The sequence below is a fragment of the Homo sapiens genome, chromosome 1 (assembly GCF_000001405.40).
Source record: "Homo sapiens chromosome 1, GRCh38.p14 Primary Assembly".
Classification (NCBI taxonomy): domain Eukaryota; kingdom Metazoa; phylum Chordata; class Mammalia; order Primates; family Hominidae; genus Homo; species Homo sapiens.
Genome location: NC_000001.11, coordinates 32,944,794 through 32,970,111, shown reverse-complemented (window position 1 = coordinate 32,970,111; position 25,318 = coordinate 32,944,794). Strand labels below are relative to the sequence as shown.

At 45.0% G+C, this 25,318-nt stretch overlaps 2 protein-coding genes across 8 annotated transcripts in view, besides 5 other annotated features; both read left to right on the top strand.

Moving 5' to 3' along the window:
- Nucleotides 5,019-5,588: a silencer, noted in NCBI's record as "silent region_614". NCBI's record gives its function as "represses an Ori minimal core promoter by ATAC-STARR-seq in GM12878 lymphoblastoid cells {active_cell/tissue: GM12878}" and the evidence as "EXISTENCE:reporter gene assay evidence [ECO:0000049][PMID:35858748]".
- Nucleotides 5,019-5,708: a biological region, named in NCBI's record as "H3K27ac hESC enhancer GRCh37_chr1:33430005-33430509".
- Nucleotides 5,204-5,708: an enhancer, noted in NCBI's record as "H3K27ac hESC enhancer chr1:33430005-33430509 (GRCh37/hg19 assembly coordinates)". NCBI's record gives its function as "activates a minimal SCP1, AML or CMV promoter by ChIP-STARR-seq in naive H9 embryonic stem cells {active_cell/tissue: H9 hESC(naive)}" and the evidence as "EXISTENCE:reporter gene assay evidence [ECO:0000049][PMID:30033119]".
- RNF19B (ring finger protein 19B) overlaps nucleotides 5,303-25,318 on the top strand; it is a 35,774-nt gene continuing 15,758 nt past the window's right edge. For 4 of the 7 annotated variants that reach the window (XM_006710356.3, XM_006710357.4, NM_153341.4 and 1 more), the window contains exons 1-5: nucleotides 5,303-6,061; nucleotides 20,338-20,543; nucleotides 21,746-21,890; nucleotides 23,548-23,710; nucleotides 24,484-24,598. In XM_006710356.3, the coding sequence (XP_006710419.1) occupies nucleotides 5,427-6,061; nucleotides 20,338-20,543; nucleotides 21,746-21,890; nucleotides 23,548-23,710; nucleotides 24,484-24,598 (1,264 nt within the window). In that variant the 5' untranslated portion in view covers nucleotides 5,303-5,426. The remainder of the gene's footprint in view (nucleotides 6,062-20,337; nucleotides 20,544-21,745; nucleotides 21,891-23,547; nucleotides 23,711-24,483; nucleotides 24,599-25,318) is intronic. The other 3 variants (XM_047445558.1, NM_001300826.2, NM_001127361.3) reach the window with 1 other exon arrangement.
- Nucleotides 5,949-6,158: a silencer, noted in NCBI's record as "silent region_613". NCBI's record gives its function as "represses an Ori minimal core promoter by ATAC-STARR-seq in GM12878 lymphoblastoid cells {active_cell/tissue: GM12878}" and the evidence as "EXISTENCE:reporter gene assay evidence [ECO:0000049][PMID:35858748]".
- On the top strand, nucleotides 18,303-18,904 carry LOC107984936 (metallothionein-1E-like). The gene has a single exon (XM_047437246.1). It carries the CDS (start codon nucleotides 18,633-18,635, stop codon nucleotides 18,816-18,818), a length of 186 nt encoding a protein of 61 aa, XP_047293202.1. The 5' UTR covers nucleotides 18,303-18,632; the 3' UTR covers nucleotides 18,819-18,904.
- Nucleotides 22,058-22,559: an enhancer, noted in NCBI's record as "NANOG hESC enhancer chr1:33413154-33413655 (GRCh37/hg19 assembly coordinates)". NCBI's record gives its function as "activates a minimal SCP1, AML or CMV promoter by ChIP-STARR-seq in primed H9 embryonic stem cells {active_cell/tissue: H9 hESC(primed)}" and the evidence as "EXISTENCE:reporter gene assay evidence [ECO:0000049][PMID:30033119]".

The following is a 25,318-nucleotide window of genomic DNA, read 5'->3' as shown; positions in this document are numbered from 1 at the left end:
GTCTCAAAAAAACAAACAAACAAAACAACAACAACAAAAAACCAAAACAACAACAAAAACCTTGAAAAAGACAAGAGAAAACTCAAAAGTAGAGCCTCAAGAAAGAAAAAAGCAGGTTTTGTAGTCCAATTTCATGGTATGTATGGCTCTCCTTGATTTAAACTGTCCCATAATACCTCATAGACTAAAGGCTGAGCTCCTTAGCCTGGCACTGAAGGCTTCCTGTAGCTGGGTCTCAGCCTATCTCTGATGAACATTTCATATTTCATCTGCTCATGTTTGGCCCCTCCCTCCTTCCTTGTGAAAGAGTAGCTCCTTCCTTTTGGAGAATTGCTCCTCCCTTTGGTCCAGCCATATGGTTCAGGTACTGCCTATCAATCATAGCATTCCATCCTCCATGACCACAGATGTGGGTATGCAGCCAAACCTCACCAATCAGACTTGTTCTGAAGAATTTTGAGAATCTGGAACAAAGGGAAGATAATTACTCCTCTCTGGTGAGGAAGCTAGGACACATAAGCTAGGGATTCTACAGTTCCAGCAAGAGAGAGAAGTAGACTGAAAAAATAAAGTGGGAAGAAGAGGGAGTTAATGCTTAATGGCTATGGAATTCCAAGTTGGTAAAACGAAAAAGTTCTGGAGATGGATGGTGGTGATGGTTGCACAACAATATGAATTTATTTAATGTTACCAAACTGTACACTTAAAATTGGTTAAAATGGTAGATTTTATGTAATGCATATTTTACCACAATAAAAAAAAAAGAAGAAGCTAGCATGCAGAGAAGCAAAGATGAATGATGGAGTGCAGGATCTGGGGGCTTTCCTGGGTGCAGTTGCTGTGGTACAAAGGGTTCAAAAGGTTATAGAAGCCAAAAATCACTCCTTTGGCCTAGCCTCATTCAAGTTAGGCTTCTGGTCCTTGCATCCAATGGAGCCATAATACAGAACCTTTCCATTTTCTTTTTTGTTTCTTTTCTTTTCTTTTTTTTTTTTTTTTTTTTTTGAGAAGCAGTCTCACACTGTGGCCCAGGCTTACAGTACAGTGACATGATCTTGGCTCACTGCAACTTCTGCCTCCCAGGTTCAAGTGATTCTCGTGCCTTGGCTTCCCGAGTAGCTGGGACTACAGGTGAGTGCCACCATGCCTGGCTAATTTTTGTATTTTTAGTAGAGACAGGGTTTCTGCATGTTGGCCAGGCTGGTCTCGAACCTCCCGACCTCAAGCAATCTGCCCACCTCAGCCTCCCAAAGTGCTGGGATTACAGCGTGAGCCACCATGCCTGGCCAGAACCTTTCCATTTTCATTTCTCACTCATGTCCTTTCAAACATTCTCTTCTCCTGTCAACCCTGCTGCTCATACTTCCTCAGACTTATCCTGTGTTTATACACACTATGCCTTTCCTCCCTGCTCCCCAAGCTTGGAATGTCCTTCCCCCTTCTTATGACTTTGTCAACTCATATTCATCATTTGAGATCCAGCTGAAAGGGCTCCTCCTCAGGAAAGCCATCCCTGACCACCCTAAGCAGAGCCTGCCATGCCTTCTGTTGGTCTGTCATAGCTTTTTTGTATATGTCCTCATCACTTGGTATCTCAGTGATCTGCCATCTTGTCTGTAACCCCCAGTAGATTATGTTTTTCATCTCCATGACCCTGGTAGCTAGCAAAGAGGCTAGCACAAGTAAGTATAATAAATCTTTACTGAATGAGTGTACAGATGAGTGAGAATCTTTTTCTCCCTCATGCCATCTCTGAGTCACTACTCAGTTTCTATCAAGAAGAGACACATAAGGAAACGTGGGAGGAATTGCTTTAGTCCCTTTATTCAAGGGTGATAGTCTCAGGAGAGAAGAAAACACAATCAAGTTGGGGCCACTGCAAAGTCTAGTGGCATTTAAGAGAAGTTATTTTCCCCAAAGCACTGGCAGCTTTGAACTGAGGCTGAATTTGTTTGGAAGCCAGAGCCAAGACAAGCAGACATTTGGTAGTGTTGAGCCTTCCAGCAAGCTGGGATTCTGACAGCCGTTTCTGTCAGCTGCACAAGGAGAAGCATCTAAAAGGCATCTGGGTCTACCTGGAATTGGGGGTCCCCATATCTTTTAGCACAATCTGACCCAAGGAACAAGGCAGCCGTCTCTCCTACCCTCCATTCCCACCATAAGCATATACCTCCTCTAAGGGGGCTCTGCAGTTGATTAGGACGTTGGGCACTGAGAACAGAGTCAAAGATGACTATAGGAAACTGTGGCAGAGATGATACTACTGCTTACTAAATGGCTTATGGTTTCTTCCTACATTTCCCAGCCTCCCTTGCAGTTTTTTTGTTTGTTTGTTTGTTTTTGACACAGAGTCTTGCTCTCTCGCCCAGGCTGGAGTGCAGTGGTGTAATCTCCGCTCACTGCAACCTCTACCTCCTGGGTTCAAGCGATTCTCCTGCCTCAGCCTCCTGAATAGCAGGGATTACAGGCGCCCCACCACACCCCGCTAACTTTTGTATTTTTAGAGATGGGGTTTCACCATGTTGGCCAGGCTGGTCTCGAACTCCTGACCTCAGGTGATCCACCTGCCTCGGCCTCCCAAAGTGCTAGGATTACAGGCATGAGCCACCGTGCCTGGCCTCCAGCTCTCTTTTTGAGGCAATACTGAAAGCTTTGCATTGAGATAGTGGAGCCCAAGAGAGAAGTAGTCTGGATCTCTGAGTTACCCAGGAGAGTTGAGGAGAGCTACTCTGGAGAGTGCCTTAACCCACAGCCAGCGTTGCATGAGTGGAAAAGATATACCATTGTTGTGTGTTATGCCATTGAGAAATTTGGCTTGTTTGTTACCATAGCCAAGTCTAGCCTATTCTGCCAGATAAATATAGACATTAATTGTTGTTTTAGCCATCCAGCATCAAACCTCCTTCCTATTTGAGGATTAAACTCTCCCCCTCCTTTAGGACTCTTTGGTGTTGCCAAATCCAGTGGTCACATCTCTGTTCTTATCTTTCTTGATTTCTCAGCAGCATTTGTCACAATTGACCACTCCCTTCTGGGAACATACTATGTTGGTGTCTGTGACATCATGCCTGCTTAGTTTTTCTTTTATGTCACTGGCCCCCGCTTTTCAGTTTTCTTTGTTGGCTCCCCTTCTTGTTTTATGTCAAAAGTTTGAAGTTCTGGAGACCTGGTTTAAAATATCACAGCTGGTTTCCACCTTTTGAGACGATGTCTTTTTGTGTCACCCAGGCTGGAGTGCAGTGGCATAATCACGGCTCACTGCAGTCTCAACCTCCCAGGCTCAAGCATTCCTCCCACCTCAGTCTCCCAAGTAGCGGGGACTACAGGCACACTCCATCACACCCAGATAATTTTTGTATTTTTTGTAGAGATGGGGTTTTGCCATGTTGCTCAAGCTGGTCTCAAACTCCTGGGCTTAAGAGATTCACCAGCCTAGGTCTCCCAAAGTGTTGTAATTACAGGTGCGAGCCACAGCTCCTGGCCCATCTTACCATTCCTTATTAATAACAGAGCACTCATTGTTAGCTGGGCACATTGTACCCAGTTAAGAGAATGTTTCCCAGGCTCCCTTGCAGCTGAGTATGGCCATGTGAGTGAGTATGTTTTGGCAAAAATGTGCGGGACTTTCGAGGCAGTCCTTTTTTCTTTCTTTCTTTTTCTTTTTCTTTTTTTTTTTTTTTTGAGACAGAGTCTCGCTCTGTCGCCCAGGATGGAGTGCAGCGGCGCGATCTCGGCTCACTGCAACCTCCGCCTCCTGGGTTCACGCCATTCTCCTGCCTCAGCCTCTCGAGTTGCTGGGATTACAGGCGCCCGCCACCACGCCCGGCTAATTTTTTATATTTTTAGTAGAGACGGGATTTCACTGTGTTAGCCAGGATGGTCTCCATCTCCTGACCTCGTGATCCGCCAGCCTGGGCCTCCCAAAGTGCTGGGATTACAGGCGTGAGCCTCCGCGCCCAGCCCCAAGGCAGTCTTCTTAAAAGGAAGAGGATGCATCTTTCTTCCCTTTTTCCTTCCCACTGTTTGGAATATGGACCATAGTGAGGTGACCTTAACACTGGAAGCCAAATACTGAGGATGGCTGAACAGCCCTGAACTGCCTACTTTTGGACTTATATTTCATGGAAAGAGAGAAATTTCTGGCTAGGTGCAGCGGCTCATGCCTGTAATCCCAGCACTTTGAGAGGCCAAGGCAGGAGGATCGCTTGAGCCCAGGAGCTCGAGACCAGCCTGAGCAACACAGGGAGATTTCATCTCCATGAAAAAAATAAAAATAATAGGCAGGCCTGGTGGCGCACCTGTGCTCCCAGCTACTCCAGAGGTTGGGGTGGGAGGATCGCTTAAGCTTGGGAGGTTGAGGCTTCAGTGAGCTGTGATCACGCCACTGCACTCCAACCTGGGTGACAGAGCAAAACCGTCTCAGGAAAAAAAATAAATAAATTTCAATCGTAAGCTATTTTTTTCTTTTGTTATTTGCAATTGAATGTAATCCTGATACATTCCTGTTGTTGAAGCTGTTTGCCTGCCTCCCACTAGGAAGCCTAAGGGTCCAGATCCTCCCCCAGTCAGAGGAATGGGGAACTAGAAAAAGAAAGGCAAAGGCACTGCCAGGCAAGAAAACGCTGGGTCTCCTTCCACAAGTTTGGTAAGTAAGCAAGATACCAGGAGGATAGAATGGTAAGTGAGCCTAGAAATAGACTATTATATACATAGGGTTTATTAAATACATAGAGAACACTGAATGCTAGACTAAGAAATTTGGACTTTATTCTGGAAGTCCCTTGCAATAGGGGACCTTGTCTGTTTTATTTTCTAATGCCTCGCACTTTGTAGAAGCTCAGTGAATGAATATATTCTTTATTAATTTATGCCGTCTGCTTAATAAACAGAAATGTTGGAAGGTGAACCAGTTGGGAGTCACCATCTGATCAACCCCTGCCTGCTTTTTATAAATAATGTAACTGAACCATCATTTACTGGAAGTGGCAATCAACCTGTGAGGAACGGCAAACCAAAAAGTCCACCTTGGGTGTCATGGTGATGGAATTGGAGGCGGAGACCAGGGAGAGCAGCGGGCTAGGATCTCTGAGAGTCTCCGCAACATGGCGGCCCTGGAACCACCTGACCGGCAGGAGGCGGAGCTCCGCCCCAGCTCGCTCGGCCCCACCCCGCTCGGCCCTGCCCAGCGCACTCCTAGACCGGGGCGCAAGGGTTGTGAGGTGTTTGAGCGAAGCGCCTGCGCAGGGCAGCGGCGCGCGGGGCGGAGGCTTTATAATCACTTCGTCGTTGCCGCTCGGCTTCTATCGCCGGGAGGGCGGTTGAGGCGGTGGTGGCGGCGTCGGCGGCGGCCGGGCGCTGGCTGAGGGGCGCTGAGGCGGGAGCTGTGGCGGCGCTGGGCGCCCCTGGCTCCTCGGCCTCTGCCGGCCATGGGCTCCGAGAAGGACTCCGAGTCGCCGCGCTCCACATCGCTACATGCGGCCGCACCCGACCCTAAGTGCCGCAGCGGCGGCCGGCGCCGGCGCCTCACCTTGCACAGCGTCTTCTCTGCCTCGGCCCGCGGCCGCCGCGCCCGGGCCAAGCCGCAGGCCGAGCCGCCGCCCCCGGCTGCGCAGCCGCCGCCCGCCCCGGCCCCTGCCGCGGCCCAGGGCCCGCCGCCCGAGGCGCTGCCCGCCGAGCCGGCCGCCGAGGCCGAGGCGGAGGCCGCGGCGGCGGCGGCGGAGCCTGGGTTCGACGATGAGGAGGCGGCGGAGGGCGGTGGCCCGGGCGCGGAGGAGGTGGAGTGTCCGCTGTGCCTGGTGCGGCTGCCGCCTGAGCGGGCCCCGCGCCTCCTCAGCTGTCCGCACCGCTCGTGCCGGGACTGCCTCCGCCACTACCTGCGCCTGGAGATAAGCGAGAGCAGGGTGCCCATCAGCTGCCCCGAGTGCAGCGAGCGACTCAACCCGCACGACATCCGCTTGCTGCTCGCCGACCCGCCGCTTATGCACAAGTACGAGGAGTTCATGCTGCGCCGCTACCTAGCCTCGGACCCCGACTGCCGCTGGTGCCCGGCCCCGGACTGCGGGTGAGCGCGGGGGCGTGGCGCGGGTGGCGGCGGGCTGCAGCCGAGGGGCGTGGCTGGGGGCAGCAGGGACCCCGCGTGGGTGTCCCAAGCAGGGAAACCCGCAAGGCGGCAGCTTCGGCGGGGTGGTAACCATCAGGCAAGCCCAGACTAGTGGTGTGAACGCACCCGACACCCCGCCCCCTGCCCCAGGGCTCGAGGTGGCTGCTAAGCATTCGGTGAGGGGAAGGGAGCTGTCCAAGTTAGGAGACAGGGAGAGGCGGTTTTTTTGTTGGGGGAATGCCCTCTGTCCGGAGGTGAGGACAGTATCTTTTTTTTTTTTTCTTTTTTTTTTTGGAGACGGAGTCTCGCCCTGCCGCCCAGGCTGGAGTGCAATGGCGCGATCTCGGCTCACTGCAACCTCCGCCTCTCAGGTTCAAGCGATTCTCCTGCCTCAGCCTCCCGAGTAGCTGGGATTACAGGCGCCCGCCACCACACCCGGCTAATTTCTTTGTATTTTTAGTAGAGATGGGGTTTCACCATGTTGGCTAGGCTGGTCTCGAACTCCTGACCTCAGGTGATCCTCCTGCCTCGGCCTCCCAAAGTGCTGGGATTACAGGCGTGAGCCACCGCTCCCGGCCAAGGTGGGGAGTATCTCTTAATGAGAGTGGGGAGGGGATATTTGGCCAAGGAGGGAATGAGAATATTCTGAGGGGGCAGCGCGTCGGAGGGGTGTGTCCACTTGGCTAGGGACAGACTTAGCATTGCAGAAGAAGGCGTGTTCTCCCTGACAACCACCGCTGAAAGTTGGGATGGAGGTGACTGGGGAATAGGCTCTCGGGTACCCTGAGCACTATGTGTTCTGTGCCACGCTATCGGGAGGCACTCTGTCGTTCTTACCTTGCTGCCTTGGGTAGGGTGAGGGGTAGACAGATATGTTCTTTGTCCAGAGTCTCAATGGGGGCACTGAGAAGAATGCCCAGAGGTTGGTGTGATAGGAGAAATTGTGTTTCTGAACCCCTTTGATCTTGAGTTCTTGATGACAGTCTTTTTAATGCACCATGTAGGCTGAATTTTAAAGGGCAGTAAATTAAAATATGCAATATCTGCAGAGACATAATACACCAGATTTTGCTATCTGAAGCATTCAGTGGAGACCTTCCTCGCCCTCCCCGCCTTTAGAAGTCTAATTGTTACTGTCAGTATATCCCATGAAGGGGTTGCACGCAGGAAGAGGGGCTCATTTAAGTAGTTGGGAGTCAGACAGCCATTACCTGTTCTGTGACCTTGGGCAGATAATTTTATTCTTGTGTGTCATGTTTTGGCGACAAAAAGATGCTGGGGAGTCCTTGCAGTGTGTAAACGTAATGCTAGTAAAAAGTTGTGTGATCTTTAGCTTCAAAGGAGTTAAGGACTTTTAATTGTAGCCTATATATCAAGGTGGTTTTGAAATCTCCATGATGCTGCTGGTTGTCTCCTTTCAAAAGGAGCTGTCTTAGAGTGTCTAGGAGAGTAAGAAGAGTTAACTTCTGTTTTTAATTCTGCCAAACTTGTTTAGAAATGGGTGTGCTATTTAACCTCACTGAGATGGGGTTTCTAAATTACTTTGAAGTGTTGTGGTCAAAGGAATGGTGTTTATGGTGGCTCACTTTCACTTTCAGTTAATAAGTATCAGGAAGGACCTTTTAGGTTCATGGAACTGTCTATGTCTAGTGATCTTACTGGCCCTCTGAGGTTAATTTATATTAAAGTTTTACAGATACTGTTGATCTGTTTTCTTAACCAAACGAATATTAAGAGAACACAGGCCAGGCTCGGTGGCTCACGCCTATAGTCCTAGCATTCTGGGAGACCAAGGTGGGTGGATCACCTGAGGTCGGGAGCTCAAGACCAGCCTGGCCAACATAGTGGTATCCTGTCTCTGCTAAAAATAGAAAAATTAGCCGGGCATGGTGGTGCACACCTGTAGTCCCAGCTACCCAGGAGGCTGAGGCAGAATCGCTTGAACCTGTGAGGCAGAGGTGCAGTGAGCCGAGATCAGGCCACTATACTCCAGCCTGGGTGACAGAGCGAGATTCTGTCTCAAGAAAAAAAAAAAACAAAACACTGCATAGTTAATTTTGGAATAGTACATTAACTCCTTTCTGAGATGTTTCCTTGAGTTCTAAGAAATGTGGCAGATCATCTTTCTGGAAAAGGTCCCTGTTTGTTTTTTTATTTTTCTAAAGTCAGTTTCTGTCTTTGCTCACATCAATAAAAATGCACAGAAAATAATTTTCAAGCTTGGTGACAACTCTCAACTATTTGGAAGTTATTAAAAAATTAGGCCATTTCTTATTTTAGCCAAGTATTATGTTAGTATCCTCCAGATTTTATTTTTTTAATTAGTTAGAAGAATGATAATCATATATATAGTTATATATATAAACAATGTATTTTTTTATATGTGTCATCTACGGACTTAAGGTGGAGTTTGGGGAAAGAAGAAAGCTGGCCTCTCAATACCTGTGTGCCAGGTATATATAATTTAATTCGATACAACCTTGTGAGATAGGTTTAGGTTTGATATAGTTTTATAAATGAGGAAACTAAAGTTTAAGGAAATTGAATGACTTGTTCAGGGTCATATAACTAGTAAGTGGTGGAACCAGGCTTAGAACAGGGGTCTTAATTCCAACCAATGCCAATATTCCTTCCATTCAGCCCCTGTTTTAAAAAGCATTTGCTTGTCAACATAGCCGCATTATTGAGGATGCTGCTGCTTGGGTGCATTTCATTAAGTGTAGCCTGAGGACAACATGGAGAAAGCCAAAGATACTAGAGTCTAGTTTCCTTTCTGATTCCTGTTGTTAACAGCCTCCTACCTACGTTATTTTTCTTATCTGAAATAGGTCTAATTCTTTCCTGACTTGAGAGGTTTAATTAATGTTTACACGGTGTTTTGAGATCTTCAGTTGAAAGTGGTTATAGGGAGTAACTTTAAAATTCTGTTAGTTGCCAAATAGATGCCTGAGTTCTCCCTTGGGATGTGCCTAGTGGCTTTGCATCTCTTTTTTTTTGAGACAGCGTCTCGCTCTGTCACCCAAGCTGGAGTGCAGCAGTGGTGCAATCACGGCTCACTGCAGCCTCAATCTCCTGGGCTCAGGCGATCCTCCTGCCTCAGCATCTCAAGTAGCTGGGAACACGGGTGCATGCCACCAAGCCCAGCTAATTATTATTATTAATATTATTATTATTATTTGTAGAGATAGGGTCTCCCTGTGTTGCCCAGGCTGGTCTCGAACTCCTGGGCTCAAGCTGTTTTCCCGCCTTGGCCTCCCAAAGTGCTGGGATTATTGCTGCCTCTTTTTAATGCCAGGAAAAAAAATAGCTTCTGTGTTCTTACTGGATGTCATGGTTCCCTTGTTTTGTTTTGAACAGTGTTGTTTTGTTTTGTTTTAGAGACAGAGTCTCACTCTGTGCCCAGGCTGGAGTGCAGTGGCATGATCATGGCTTACTACAACCTTGAACTCCTTGACTAAAGCAGTACTCCCACCTCAGCCTCCTGAGTAACTGGGATTATAGGCACGAACCACTGCACACTGCTCCTTTGTTTTATTTTTTTAAACAAATCGTTCTATTCTTCTGGGGCTGGTAGAGGTCATTGATAAACACTAGAAGAGAAGTCCAAGTCCCAGTTACCTCCTATTCCCATACCTGACCATCTTTACTGCCCACAGATAAAGTTCTTGCCAGCCAAATTGATCAGGTCTCCCCTCTGCCTTGTTTGTATGTGCATTTGGTAGGGTGAGGGGGGCATGTGAGCAATCTTACAGGTTCTGATCATTAGTTTTACTATAATTACTCATAATAACAAGAACACCATACATTCAGAGATTCATGATTTGTTTACAGAATATTTGTAGGATAGAGCAAAGAGTTTTGGATTTTTCTTCTCTTACACTCAAATATGGTTTTATTTTATTCATAAATAAGGGAACCAATTTCAGTGGGAAAACATTCACATTATAATTTTTTTTTTTTTGAGACGGAGTCTCGCTCTGTCACCCAGGCTGGAGTGCAGTGGCACCATCTCTGCTCAGTGCAAGCTCTGCCTGCCGGGTTCACGCCATTCTCCTGCCTCAGCCTCCTGAGTAGCTGGGACCACAGGCGCCCACCACCACGCCTGGTTAATTTTTTTTTTTTTTTTTTTTGTATTTTTAGTAGAGACGGGGTTTCACCGTGTTAGCTAGGATGGTCTCGATCTCCTGACCTCGTGATCTGCCCACCTCGGCCTCCCAAAGTGCTGGGATTACAGGCGTGAGCCACTGTGCCCGGCCTCACATTATTATTTAATATACTAAGAACAATATGGCCTAGTATAATCTTAAAACAAGCTGTCAAATGAGATAAAATTAGTTCAAAATACAAATAACTGATTTTTTATAGTTCTTTATAGTCTTCAGACTATAATCTCATTCAGACATAATTTCATTTTAGTCTCATCCAGGTGGATATTGGCGTGCATTTTATAAAGGAGAAACCAGTTCAGAGAAGTTTAAACATGGGGCCTAGTGTTTCATTGCTAATAATTGGTACAATTGATCTTTTACGCTTTTGAGTCTCTGCCCAAGTATGTCTTTTCAGAAACCCCGAAGTCAGGTAACTGTAATGTTTTCCTCTCAAGTATCCTGTTGCTAATCTTAAAACCCTTTCAGAATCTCTAGGAGACTGACGGGTGAGCAAAGTAGGCAACAGAAAATTTCCTGGTGTACAGGGGCAGATCTTCTGTACAGATGAATAAGAAGGGATAAGGCTGTCTTGACCTAAATTCTTTGTGCAGGTCCACCACTCCAGCCTTTCATTGCTGCCTCTGTCCTCTGCAGAATCCTTCCTCCCACCTGATCCCAGGAAACAGTATCAGCTATTGGCCTTCCCAGACAACTAGACTGGACCATCCCATAAACAGGAAGCTTTTTTCATCCCTAGCACATTTATGAGGGAAGATCAAGCAAGCTCTTTGAGCAAGACAAATTTCAGTCAGTGAAGGAGGATTTTTGCTTTCTGAAGCCTCCCTGAACCTCTTCTCTTGATTTGGCTCCATACCTCCTGTTCCACAACTTTTCCCTGCATTCCCCAACTCCACACCACCCCCTCCTCTTGTGCACGTACACCAACCTCCATCCCAATACATCTGTCTCAGATTTGCCAAAGTACTTGTACTAAAGGAGAACATCTGTATCACTCCCCTGCCTAAGACTATTCATTGACTACCTAACCTATAAGATGAGTTCTTATTATGTCTTTGAGAACTTATTTGATCTACCCTTATCATTTAAGCTCCTTTACAGTTTCCAACCATCTTTTTTTTTTTTTTAGATGGAGTCTCGCTCTGTTGCCCAGGCAGGCTGGAGTGCAGTGGTGCAATCTCGGCTCACTGCAAGCTCCACCTCCCGGGTTCATGCTATTCTCCTGCCTCAGCCTCCTGAGTAGCTGGGACTACAGGCACCTGCAACCATGCCTGGCTAATTTTTTGTATTTTTAGCAGAGACGGGGTTTTACCGTGTTAGCCAGGATGGTCTCGATCTCCTGACCTCGTGATCCACCCATCTCAGCCTCCCAAAGTGCTGGGATTACAGGCGTGAGCCACCACGCCCGGCCATCTCCAACCATCTTTTGATTTTATTTTCTATTTTTCACTCACATCACTATTTCCTAAGGTATGTTATAGGCATTACTTGAAAGAAAAATGTTTTGTGAGGAAATAAGCTTGGAAAATACTGAGTTAAACAAAATAAAACAAGTTTATGAGTTTCTTAAATCTTTAAACATGCTAATATGCTAATATGTAGTATAAATCTTCAATATAATGTAATTTCCCCAATTTAGATCACCAGGAAACAGGTTTTTGTTTTTTCTGTAGCATCTTTAAGGCTTAACTCAAACTTTCCCTAAACTCCTTTAATAGTTACCATGCTGGCCTGCCTTTGGTTAGTGTCCTTATTTAACCATAAACCTTATGCTCTGAATAGATTGAGAGCTCATGTCTCTAGACTAGGATATCTATATTCCAACCATTTCTACAACTCTGTGTACAAAGTCTTTCAATTAGGCTCTAGAAGAGTGTGGTACATAGATGAATTTTGATGAAAAAGATAAGAAATATGAGCAGCATAGTTCTCAGAGGAAGAATAGAGATGAAAGAGATAAGCAAGAATAGTATAGACAGGTGATCATTCAATTCAACAGACAACTTTTTTTTGAGATGGAGTCTCGCTTTGTCGCCCAGGCTGGAGTGCAGTTGTGCCATCTCAGCTCACTGCAACCTCTGCCTCTCGGGTTCAAGCGATTCTTCTGCCTCAGCCTCCCAAGTATCTGGGATTACAGGCATGTGCCACAATGTCCAGCTAATGTTTGTATTTTTAGTAGAAACAGGGTTTCACCATGTTGGCCAGGCTGGGCTTGAATTCCTGACTTCAAGCGAGCCACCCGCCTCACCCTCCCAAAGTGCTGGGATTACAGGTGTGAGCCACCACACCTGGCTTCAACAGATACTTTCAGAATGATACACTGTTGAACCCTGGGTGAGTACTGGGTATTTCAAAAAGAACTTAGACATGGTTTTCTTGATAGGAAGTTTCACCTGGTAGAGGAGACAGATAATTGATACATAGATAGATAGAAAATTATTCAAATGTCATATGATAAATACTAAAGAAAATACGGGTGCTCTTAGATAGATGAAAGAACAATAGAATTTGCATGATGGTTTCAAGAAAGACTTCACAGAGGAGCAGGCATGGTGGTGTGCACCTGTGGTCCCAGCTGCTTAGGAGGCTGAGGTGGGAGGATTAGTTGAGCCCAGGAGTTCGAGACCAGCCTGGGTAATAGCAAGACCCCATACCTGGGAAATGACTAGAGATCAACCTGAAAACGTGGACTGGATTCAGGTTGATAGGCCTGTGTAAGCCATGGAAATAAGTTTTGGGTTGAAGCACTTTTTTTCTTTTTTCTTTTTCTTTGAAGGATTTTAAGCAAAAGAGTAACCTTCCAGAATGGAATTTGGATGGAGTGGGGAATAGGGAGAGCAGATAAGGAGGCTCTTGGAGTTGTCTAGCCTAGAGATGGGTCTTAAATAGGGCAGGAAAAATGAAGATGTTAAGGGTACAGTTCATTGTGACAAGTTGGCGCATGTCTACCACCCTGATGCCTACTAGGGGTCTATTTGTAAATGGGTAGCCTAGTTATGTTACATGACTTGGGGATGGAAAGTACAGACATAATATAGGAACACATTTCTTTAACCACTGAAGTCTATTGGAGCATAATCAAATTTATACTAATGGAAATCTCTTTCCAGGGCTGAAGCTAAGTAATGCTGTGGTCTAGCTTGTCACTTTATGAAGTTTCTGAAGATTTAGGAAATTAATAAAATGAGTAAAAGTTGTATGAACTTAAGCAGCAGGGGCTGGGGTGGGCGGTCTGTAGTCTTTTTCTTTTTTATTATTTTTTATTTTTTTGAGATAGGGTTTAACTCTGTAACTCTGTTGCCCGTGCTGGAGTGCAGTGGTGCAATTTCAGCTCACTAGAACCTCAACCTCCCAGGCTCAGGTGATCCTCCCACCTCAGCCTCCTAAGTAGCTGGGACTGCAGGCATGTGCCACCACACGCCACCGCGCCCCACCACACTCGGCTAATTTTTGTTGTTGTTGTTATTTGAAGAGAGAGTCTCACTCTGTCACCCAGGCTGGAGTGCAGTGGTGCAATCTCGGCTCACAGCAACCTCTGCCTCCTGGATTCAAGTGATTCTCCTGCCTCAGCCTCCCGAGTAGCTGGGAGTAGCTGGGACTACAAGTGCACGCCACCATGCCCAGCTAATTTTTTTGTATTTTTAGTAGAGAGGGGTTTTGTCAGGTTGGCCAGGCTGGTCTCGAACTCCTGACCTCAGGTGATCCACCCACCTCAGCCTCCCAAAGTGCTGGGATTACAGGCATGAGCCACCATGCCCGGCCTAATTTTTGTGTCTTTCGTAGAGATGGGATTTCACCATGTTGCCCTGGCTGGTCTTGAACTCTTGGGTTCAAGTGATCCTCCTGCCTTTGCCTGACAAAGTTCTGGGGTTATGGGCATGAGCCACTGCACCCAGCTGTGTCTGTATTCTTCACAGCATGTAATTTTCTACACCTTTCTTTTAGCTTCTGATTAGCAAGCCTGACTGATTGGTTAAGCTAAAAGAGCAGAGTAGGAGAGATGCACCAGCATGGGACGTGGAAGAGAAGGAACAAAGTGGACAGGGCAGATTGGGTTTCAAGGATGAGGTATTTTCTTTTCTTTTTTTTTTTTTTTTGAGACAGGGTTTAGCTCTGTCTCCCAGGCTGGAGTGCAGTGGCACGATCTTGGCTCACTGCAGCCTCCACCTCCCGGGCTGTAGCCGTCCTCCCACCTCAGCCTCCTGAGTAGCTGGGACTACAGGCATGCACTACAGGCATGCACCACCACGCCTAGCTAATTTTTGTATTTTTTTTTTTTGTAGAGATGGGGTTTTGCCATGTTGCCCAGACTGGTCTCGAACTCCTGAGCTCAAGCAATCCACCCACCTTGGCTTCCCAAAGTGCTGGGATTACAGGTGTGATCCACCATGCCCAGGCGAGGTTTTTTTTTTCCAACTATTCGGGAAGAAGATTACCGTATTCAGAACTTAGGGGTTTACCACTAAAGTGGGTTTATATGAAATTTTAGGATTAGGTTATAGTACCTGGCATATAATAAGCCAATAGATACATGGATACATTGAAAAGATTGCTTTAGAGCAGAGTGATGGCCTAGGAGAAGACCTAGAATGTCCTAGGGAAGGTCAAACAACCAAAACAAGAGAGGGTCTCTGTCATTCATGCAACACAGGTATTTTGAGCATGAACCAGTATACTAGACTGAGATTAAAAAGTGGATGATATGTCTCCTTAAGTCCAGTGTGGTTTGGAAGGCAAGCATATAAACAGTTAGTTACATTATAATGTAAGTGTTATAAAATAATTGTGCACACCCACGAAGTAGGCAACGAGCTGCCTAGAGAGGTTAAGTATATTTTACAGAGAAAATGACACCTGAGTTGGTTCTTAAATGGGTACTTGTCAGGGCAAGAAGTAAGGACAAGACATTTCTAGGTAGAAGGAATAGAGTATGTAAAAGCCAGAAAGTAGGACAGAGTGTACGATGTTTTTACGCCATATATCTTTGAGGACAAGGTCTCACATGCAGTTTTAGAACGTGTTTAGCTACGTTTGAATGTGACAAGTACCTATACCTCCATTTGGTGGAATAGAAGCTAAGGTTTGGAGATTGTTTTTTTTTTTTTTTGAGATGGAATTCCTCTTTTGTTGCCCAGGCTGGAGTGCAGTGGTGTGGTCTTGGCTCACTGCAACCTCCGCCTCCCAGTTTCAAGCAATTCTCCTGCCTCAGCCTCCCGAGTAGCTGGATTACAGGCATGCGCCACCATGCCTGGCTAATTTTTGTATTTTTAGTTGAGACGGGATTTCACCATGTTGGCCAGGCTGGTCTTGAACTCCTGACCTCAGGTGATCCACCTGCCTCGGCCTCCCAGAGTGCTGGGATTACAGGCGTGAGTGACTGCACCAGGCCGGTTTGGAGATTTTAATAGCTTCATGTCATGCAGCATGAGTCAGAGGCAAGAGCTCAGACCAGGTACCCAAAAACAGGAATGCCAAATCTCGTGCCCTGAGTAATTCTGTGTCGTAGTAATAGATTGCTGTGGATTCATGAGTAATTTGGGGTTATTTTACTTCCTTGGCACCAAATTACACACTCAAAATTGACATTGTTGATCCTATCCAATGTTCTTCTTTTTCAAGAAAAAAAAAAAAGTGGGCTGGGCACGGTGGCTCACACTTGTAATCCCAGCACTTTGGGAGGCTGAGGCAGGAGGATCACTTGAAGGCCAGGAGTTCGAGACCAGCCTGGCCAACATGGTGAAACCCCATCTCTACTAAAAATACAAAAAATGTAGCTGGGCATGGTGGCGGGCGCCTGTAAGCCCAGCTACTTGGGAGGCTGAGGCAGGAGAATCGCTTGAACCCAGGAGGCAGAGGTTGCAGTAAGCCGAGAGCACGCCATTGCACTCCAGCCTGGGCAACAAGAGTGAAACTCCGTCTCAAAAAAAAAAAAAAAAAAAAAAAAGAAGTGGGGGCTGGGGGAATGTTAATAAACATTTACTTCTGCCATGTGAGGTAGGAATGGATGATGAAGTGTTCAAGGCTCCCTACTGGATGTCCACTTAATTTGTATCTTTAGAAGTTGACTTAGTGCTTTTCTGAGGTCATCCAGTAACTTTCCCATTTAATGCAAAATAACAAGCTAGTCACTGTCTTGAGGAGACACGTTGTTTATCTTTAGTAGTTATTTTGCAGCTAGGTGGGGTAAATTTGCCCAGAACTCCTACAGGATATGAATCATTTGCATTCATAGACTGACCTGTTCTCACTTTGTTCTTTCTGAAAAGAGTTTTAATACAGCCTGTATTATATAACATAGGGGATACATTGTCATTTATATTTTCAGCATCATTCTCAAGTCAATTTGCAGACTCTATGATAAACCTGAGAACTTGAGTTGCTATGATTAACATCTCATGTACATTCAAATAAACAAGCAAACTGTAGAATAAATCCCAGAAAATGTTATTAGCTTTTTGTACACGTTATTTGAGGTCTTTGAATATTGCGGGAGAGTATTGGAATAGAGGACAGAGTGCAGATGGCAACACGGAAACCTGCAATTACTGATGTTTTTAAAAATGTGTGTCATAGACCAAGCTTGGTGGCTCACGCCTGTAATCCCAATGCTTTGGGAGGCTAAGGCGGGAGGGTTGCTTGAAGACAGAAGTTCCAGACCAGCCTGGGCAACATAGCAAGACCAACCCTGTCTCTACAAAAAAAAAATAAAAAGAAAAAAGAAAAAGTTAGCTGGGCATGGTGGTATGCACTGGTACTTGGAGGCCTGAGGTGGGATCACTTGAGCCCAGGAGTTTCAGGTTGCAATGAGCTATCATCACACCACTGTCCAGAAGCTGGGCAACAGAGTGGGACCTTGTCTTCAAAAAAAAAAAAAAAAAAAAAATTGTGTGATTAACTTTCATAACTTTCCATTTATTTATTTATTATTTTTTTTAGACAGAATCTCACTCTGTCACCCAGGCTGGAGTGCAGTGGCGCAAACGTGGCTCACTGGAGCCTCAACCTCCCAGCCTCAAGCAGTCCTCCCACCTCAGCCTCCCAAGTAGCTGTGACTGCAGGCCTGTGTCACCATACCTGGCTGATTTTTTTTTTTTTTTGAGATGGAGTCTCACACTGTCACCCAGGCTGGAGTGACACCCATGGTGGCGCAATCTCTGCTCACTGCAACCTCCACCTCCCGGGTTCAAGCGATTCTCCTCCCTCAGCCTCCTGAGTAGCTGGGATTACAGGCGCCCGCCACCATGCCCAGCTAATTTTTTGTATTTTTAGTAGAGACAGCGTTTCACCATGTTGGCCAGGCTGGTCTCGAACTCCTGACCTTGTGACTTGCCTGCCTCAGTGTCCCAAAGTGCTGGGATTACAGGTGTGAGCCACCACGCCAGGCTGTTTTTTTTTTTTTTTTTTTTTTTTTTTTTTAAGAGAAAAGGTCTTGCTGTGTTGCCCAGGCTGGTCTAAAAATGCTGGCCTCAAGCGATCTTCCTGCCTCAGCCTCCCAAAGTGCTGAGATTACAGGCATGAGCCATCTCACCTGGCTAAAATGTTATTTTATACAAGTATTATATTTCTTGTTAGAGTAATCTGAGCGCTTAATTGACATATTTGGAATTAATCAGAAAGGCTAATAGTTATATAAATATATTGGATTGTTTGTGTGAGACTAATTCTTGGTAAATGAACATGAACTACAAGAAATGGTCGACATTAGTGCTGATAAATTCTGAATCTTTACATGAAGAATATGTGTCACAGCTGAGTGCAGTGGCTCACACCTGTAATCCCAACACTTTGAGAAGCCAAGACAGGCAAATCACCAGAGGTCAGGAGTTGAAGACCAGTCTTGCCAACATGGTGAAGCCCTGTCTCTACTAAAAAAAAAAAAAAAAAAAAGCCGGGCGTGGTGGCGGGCGCCTGTAATCCCAGCTACTCGGGAGGCTGAGGCAGGAGAATCACTTGAATTTGGGAGAAGATTGCAGTGAGCCGAGATCACGCCACTGCGCTCCATCCTGGGCGATATAGTGAGACTCTGTCTCAAAAAAAAAAAAAGAATATGTGTCAGAAGAGAGAAAGGGAGGTATGGCCTTAATGCTATTTTAATTTATAAGATAGAGGCCTGGTATTCTTGGATTCTGGAGCCTATCAAGACATTTCAAGGTATAGGTTTGAATTGAAAAAGTATGGAAAGATAAGATGAGCTTTCAAGAGGGATGCTGATCATAAGTCTTTAGGGTTTATTGTCTCTGTGACTATGGTCAGACCAGCTTCACTGTGGAACTGGAACTTAAGAATGAAAAAGGCAGCATGCTTTCCAACTGCCTGACTGCTTGTTGGCCTCACCGGTGGGAGCTCCAGCATCTCCTTTGCTCGAAATGGACCCCAACTGCTCCTGTGCCACTGGTGGCTCCTGCATGTGCGCCGGCTCCTGCAAGTGCAAAGAGTGCAAATGCACCTCCTGCAAGAAGAGCTGCTGCTCCTGCTGCCCCGTGGGCTGTGCCAAGTGTGCCCAGGGCTGCATCTGCAAAGGGGCGTTGGAGAAGTGCAACTGCTATGCCTGACGTGGGGACAGCTCTGCTCCCAGATGTAAATAGAGTAACCTGCACAAACCTGGATTTTTTAAAAAATACAACACTGAGCCATTTGCTTCATTTCTTTTTATATTAAATATGTTAATGACAATAAAACAATTTTTACTTGAAGAAAAAAAATGAAAAAGGCTGAGTGCAGTGGCTCACGCCTGTAATCCCAGCACTTTGGGAGGCCGAGGAGGGCGGATCATAAGGTCAAGAGATCGAGACCATCCTGGCCAACATGGTGAAACCCTATCTCTACAAAAATACAAAAATTAGCTGCGCATGGTGATGCATGCCTATAGTCCCAGCTACTAAGGAGGCTGAGGCAGGAGAATCGCTTGAACCCGGGAGGCGGAGGTTGCAGTGAGCCGAGTCGCGCCACTGCACTCCAGCCTGGCGACAGAGCGAGACTCCATCTCAAAAAAAAAAAAAAAAGAATGAAAAGGTAGCATGGTGGCTCATGCCTGTAATTCCAGCACTTTGGGAGGCTGAGGCAGGCTGATTGATTGAGCCCGGAAGTTTGCGACCAGCCTGGGCAATGGGGCGAAACCCCATCTCTATGCAAATTACAAAAATTAGCCAAGTGTGGTGGTGCGCACCTGTAGTCCCAGCTACTCTAGAGGCTGAGGCAAGAGGATTGCTTGAGCCTGGTATGCGGAGGTTGCAGTGAGCCACTGCATTCCACCCTGGGTGACAGTGAGACCCCATCTCAAAAAAAAAAAAGAAGGAATTAAAAAATAAACTTTAGTTTTTGCCATAGCTCTTTATTTCACTAATGTCCTCTTCCTTCGTATAAACAAATACTAATCTCTCTAAATATAGCAAACTATCAAAAGGAAATAGTTTTGTACCCTGTTATTTATGAAACTTATTATGACAAACTACTCCTAAAGCAGCTTCAGCTATGATTGAATAAATGCTGGAAATCCAGGATAAATAAGATACTCCACCTCCACTTTTTAAAGTAAATAAATGATTTGTGTTTTTGGAATCTCAAGAAATTTATAGCCAGGCATGGTGGCTCACGCCTGTAATCCCAGCACTTTGGGAGGCCGAGGCGGGTGGATCACCTGAGGTCAGGAGTTTGAGACCAGCCTGGCCAACATGGTGAAACCCCATCTCTACTAAAAATACAAAAAAAATTAGCCAGGCGTGGTGGCTTGCACCTGTAATCCCAGCTACTAGGGAGTCTGTGGCAGGAGAATTGCTTGAACCTGGGAGGTGGAGGTTGTAGTAAGCCGAGATTACACCACTGCACTCCACAATCCAGCCTGGGTGACAGAGCAAGACTGTCTCAAAAAAAAAAAGTTTACTTTCTCACATGGGATATATTTTACAGTTGGTCAAATGTGCTTGTGTGTGTATATGTGTGTATGTGTATTCTTTTCTCTGTATCATATGTGATAGTGGGGTAGTGCCAAACATTGTTAACTCTGATGAATAATGTCTCTTTTGGTTAGATCATTCTTACCTTACTGGTATCTCTTACTGTTTCCTTACCTAGTTATGCTGTTATTGCCTATGGCTGTGCCAGCTGCCCGAAGCTAACTTGTGAGAGGGAAGGTTGCCAGACTGAGTTCTGCTACCACTGCAAGCAGATATGGCATCCAAATCAGACATGCGATATGGCCCGTCAACAGAGGGCCCAGACTTTACGAGTTCGGACCAAACACACTTCAGGTCTCAGTTATGGGCAAGAATCTGGACCAGGTATAAGTTGGCATTATCTCATTGTCTCTTTATTTGGTATTTCATGATGTGAGCCCATAGCTGAAAGAAATTATCTTATTGTATAACCCAAGTACTCCAAAGGATCAGAGAGCAGAAAATATCATTTGATAATACTTTCAATATTATAATAAAGATAGCACTTCCCTCTCTGACCATTATAGGTTATCCAACTATATAAAATTGAAATGCAACAAAATTGAATTATGTAGTTCCTACTTTCTTAGTAATATGTCTCAGATTGGAGAGCAATTAGTTCATTTTGTTTTGCTAGGGGCTTTTTCAAAACTTTCATTGTGAACAGAAAGACATTTAATTAGTATTAAACCTGTGCTGTTTGCCTTCAAGCTGACTTAAGTGCCTCACTGCCTTTGGAAGTAGAGTACAGATTGAAGAAAAGGAAACAGTATTAGTATAGATTAATGATTAACCTTAAAAGGAGGAATGTCACACATTCAGCTCCAACCTTGGCGAGTCAGAGGAAACCTATTTTAAAATGTCAGTGGATTTATTGCTTTGTACTTTTATTTTGCTGATGTCATTTGGGAGAGGCTAGTAGGAAAGATTTTGCCATTCACTTTTTCCTGGCACAGCATAATTTCCTAAATTGTCATTTTATTAGGATAGTTCATAACTTGCTCTGAAAATTACCAAGTATATGGTAGATAGCATACCCAGTTGTTTTTAGGTTTTGAATTTGAAAGTATCATGGGAAGGGATTGTGGGCTATGTTAACAGCAAATCACAATGATACATGTTGAACCTGAAAAATAAATTTCCCAAACTAAAGTTTTTAAAAATGTAAAGCTAATTCCAGGCTGCAGGCTATTCTTTCTGTAGGATTCTTCTTTTAAATCTACCAGCCTATCGACTGGTAGAAATTTCATTTTTCTTGGAAACATCTTTCTCCCTAAGGAAATCTCCTTGCTAGAATGTGGTTCAAGTGCTGTGTAAGATGCCAGTTGTTGGGATAGGCAGCTCAATAAGAGACAGGATTCATTTTATGAAAATTCCTGAGGTCTAGACATAGCCAACCTTCCAGTAAAGTGGGTTGTACAATTTGGAGTGTTCAGTGAAGAGTTCTTGACTGCTGCCTCATTTCTTATATATACTCCTAGGAACAATTAAATCAAACTGGATTTAACTAGGGGTATTTTTTCTACCCATTCTTCCCCCACTCATAGCAGATGACATCAAGCCATGCCCACGATGCAGTGCATACATTATCAAGATGAATGATGGAAGCTGTAATCACATGACCTGTGCAGTGTGTGGCTGTGAATTCTGTTGGCTTTGTATGAAAGAGATCTCAGACTTGCATTACCTCAGGTAAGATGGGAAATGCATCCATTCCTTTCGTAGTCTCATTCTCTTACTGATTTAGGGAAAAGGATGTCAAAAAGACACATCCGTTCTCTCATTACAGGTTTAAGGAAGCTGTGAAAACTTCTTCTGACATGCTCCTCTAATCATGTTTTCACCAGCTACTATTCTGTTTCTACCTTTCTTTGCTTGCCATATTACAGGTAGTCTGGACTTGCTTTTTCCCTTTTGCTGTCTTGCCTCCATACTTGTTCATGTTCTTTCCTTTGCCTAGAATGCTTTCTGCCTACCTTCCAGTATCCTCCTTTTATCTCAACTTGTTCAGTTCTTATCTTTTAAGAGCCACTTAAATGCCTTTCATCCATGTTGCCTCTCCTTTTTCCGCCTCATTCTTTGACTTTCTTTTATCTTTTGTCATAAATATCGTCAGTACTTTACACTTCACGTACCTATCTTATCTTACTAAACTGTAAGTATCTTGAGGCTAGAGTTGTGACCTTTTTACAGTTTTTTGCATTTAGTGAGTTCCCAAGGAATTCATTAAGTGAATTCTTTTTTTTTTTTTTTTTAAGACAGAGTTTCTCTCTGTCGCCCAGGCTGGAGTGCAGTGGCTCGATCTCGACTCACTGCAACCTCCACCTCCCAGGTTCAAGTGATTGTCCTGCCTCAGCCTCCTAAGTAGCTGGGATTACAGGCACCTGCCACCATGCCCAGCTAATTTTTGTATTTTTAGTGGAGGCGGGGTTTCACCATGTTAGCCAGCCTGGTCTCGAACTCGAACCTCAGGTGGTCCGCCTGCCTCGGCCTCCCAAAGTTCTGGGATTACAAGCGCGAGCCACCGCGCCCAGCCTCATTGAGTGAATATTAAAATGTTGTGGAGGAGTTAATATTTACAAACAAAATGTTTGCTAATATTTACAAATAAACAAAATGTGTTAATATTTACAAACAAACATTCATTGTGTAAATGAAACACAACACCTTCATTGCCAATTTGTCGAACATTTGAGTACTTACTGTGTGCTAGTCATTGGGGACATAGGGGTGAGTAAGACATGATCCCTATTTTCAAAATTGTTTATCCCTTCTAGTGGAGAAGATAGCACAAAGAGAATGGGCAAAAATGGTTGGGCACAGAAGGGCTGACTGTAAAAGTAGCCAAACTCAGAATACCAAACTGATAGAAAGGTTATGATGAGGTCTTTTTATATCCTCTCCCACGAACATGGTTTGCAGTATCTATTAGGTATGGTAGGACATATGCCAAGAAAACTACACAAATCAGAGTGTTCATTAGTGCAGGGTGCAGTGTGTCTGGATGGGATGTCAAGTGCATAAGGCTATGCAGCATCCCAAGTATTGTCAGTCATGGAAGCTAGATCAGTTTTGGTGGGTTAGGGAAGACAGAATTCAGCAGAGAAGAATGGAAAAGGAATTTCAAGTCTGGAAGCCTGTCTTTACAACAACAACCAAAAAAGTTAAAGAGCCCAGAGCTCTAATAGTCTGGCCTTGTCCTTTGCTCTCCCTTGTGTAATGTATTCATTTCCCATAAACTCTTCTGTTAATCCTTACTGAAAAGAAGGCTGTTGCTGTTATCAAGCCCTATGATAATACTAGCTGTATTTGTAATGTTGACATTAACTTCAGTCTGTTTCCCCTGCAGCCCCTCTGGCTGTACATTCTGGGGCAAGAAGCCATGGAGCCGTAAGAAGAAAATTCTTTGGCAGCTGGGCACGTTGATTGGTGCTCCAGTGGGGATTTCTCTCATTGCTGGCATTGCCATTCCTGCCATGGTCATTGGCATTCCTGTTTATGTTGGAAGGAAGGTAAGAAAGACATGCTGGTTTCTGTGCTTGTTTCAACTTTAGGTTCGTTAGTAAAGGTTTGAGGGAAATGGGAAGGAGCTATGTTTCAGAGCTGCCTGAAAACCAGCTGGTTCTTAGATAAAAATAACCTTACTTTCTTAAATGGATTTTCATAAACCCCCATGAGATCTGAAAGTTCTTATTAACATCCTGGGCCTGGCTTGTCTCAGTGACTTAAAGGTAGAATGCTGGGCCAGGCATGATGGTTCACATTTGTAATACGTGGCCTAGCACTTTGGGAAGCCAAGGCAGGTAGATCAGTTGAGCCCAGGTGTTTGAGACCAGCCTGGGCAACATGACAAAACCCATCTGTACCCAAAAAAATAGAAAAATTAGCTGGGTATGGTGGCATGTGCCTACAGTCCCAGCTACTAGGGAGGCTGAGGTGGGAGGATTGCTTGAGCCCAGGGACGTAGAGGTTGCAGTGAGCCAAGATCGCACCACTGCACTCCAGCCTGCATGACAGACTCCAAAAAAAAAAATAAAAGAAGAAGGTAAAATGCTTACTTCATTCTGCTGGAGTTATTTTGTCTCTTTTTGGATTAACTTTGCCTGTATTACTTTATATCTTCCAGGTCTGAGTTAGGTTAAAATTTGATAAAGATGCCTATTTGGGGTAGAGGATATGTTTTAATATAGATAACTTACAAGTGAATATTCACCTGTCCTTTTTTTCTCTGGCAAAAGATTGATGTCCTAACCTGCTGACCTGGATTTTCTTTTTTTATTCTTAGATTCACAGCAGGTATGAGGGAAGGAAAACCTCCAAACACAAGAGGAATTTGGCTATCACTGGAGGAGTGACTTTGTCGGTCATTGCATCCCCAGTTATTGCTGCAGTTAGTGTTGGTAAGCTAGTCAGGACCACACCTCTTCTCTCTCAGCTTTCTGACCATAGCAGTTTAGCCAGATGGCCAGATGTTTCTCAAAGACTCCTACATTTTATGCGAACCCACCTTGATAGTAAATTCTGTTAGGCACCATGATTATGATTATTTTTAAGTTTTTCAAGCACACCAAATTATCAGAGTGTGCAATCTTTTGTTCTTAAGTTAGTGCCTAGAACTCCATTTGGCACATAGAAAAGGTTGAATTACAGAAACTTATTTTAAGCCCTAGTTTTCACCTTTCATCTTCCTTCTCTACTTGCCATGAAATCCACAAAACAAAATTACTTTTGTTTTGATTTGTTTAATGCTTCACATTACTTTGGGAGGCATAAGAGTTTGTTTTAGAATAATAATAGTGTAACTAACATTTAATGTGGCTCTTCATGTGCCAGGAGTGGTTCTGAGACTTTTGCATATATTAATTTATTTAATCCTCACAATCCTTACAAAAGGAAGCACAATTTTAATAGAAAGGTGCAGTAATTGGCTGGGCGCAGTGGCTCACGCCTGTAATTCCAGTGTTTTGGGAGGCCGAGGCGGGCGGATCACGAGGTCAGGAGATCGAGACCATCCTGGCTAACACGGTGAAACCCCATCTCTACTAAAAATACAGAAAATCAGCCGGGTGTGGTAGCGGGTGCCTGTAGTCCCAGCTACTTGGGAGGCTGAGGCAGGAGAA

Excerpts from the sequence above, each read along its gene's own strand:
- LOC107984936 (XM_047437246.1), top strand. The coding sequence starts at position 18,633 with ATGGACCCCAACTGCTCCTGTGCCACTGGTGGCTCCTGCATGTGCGCC.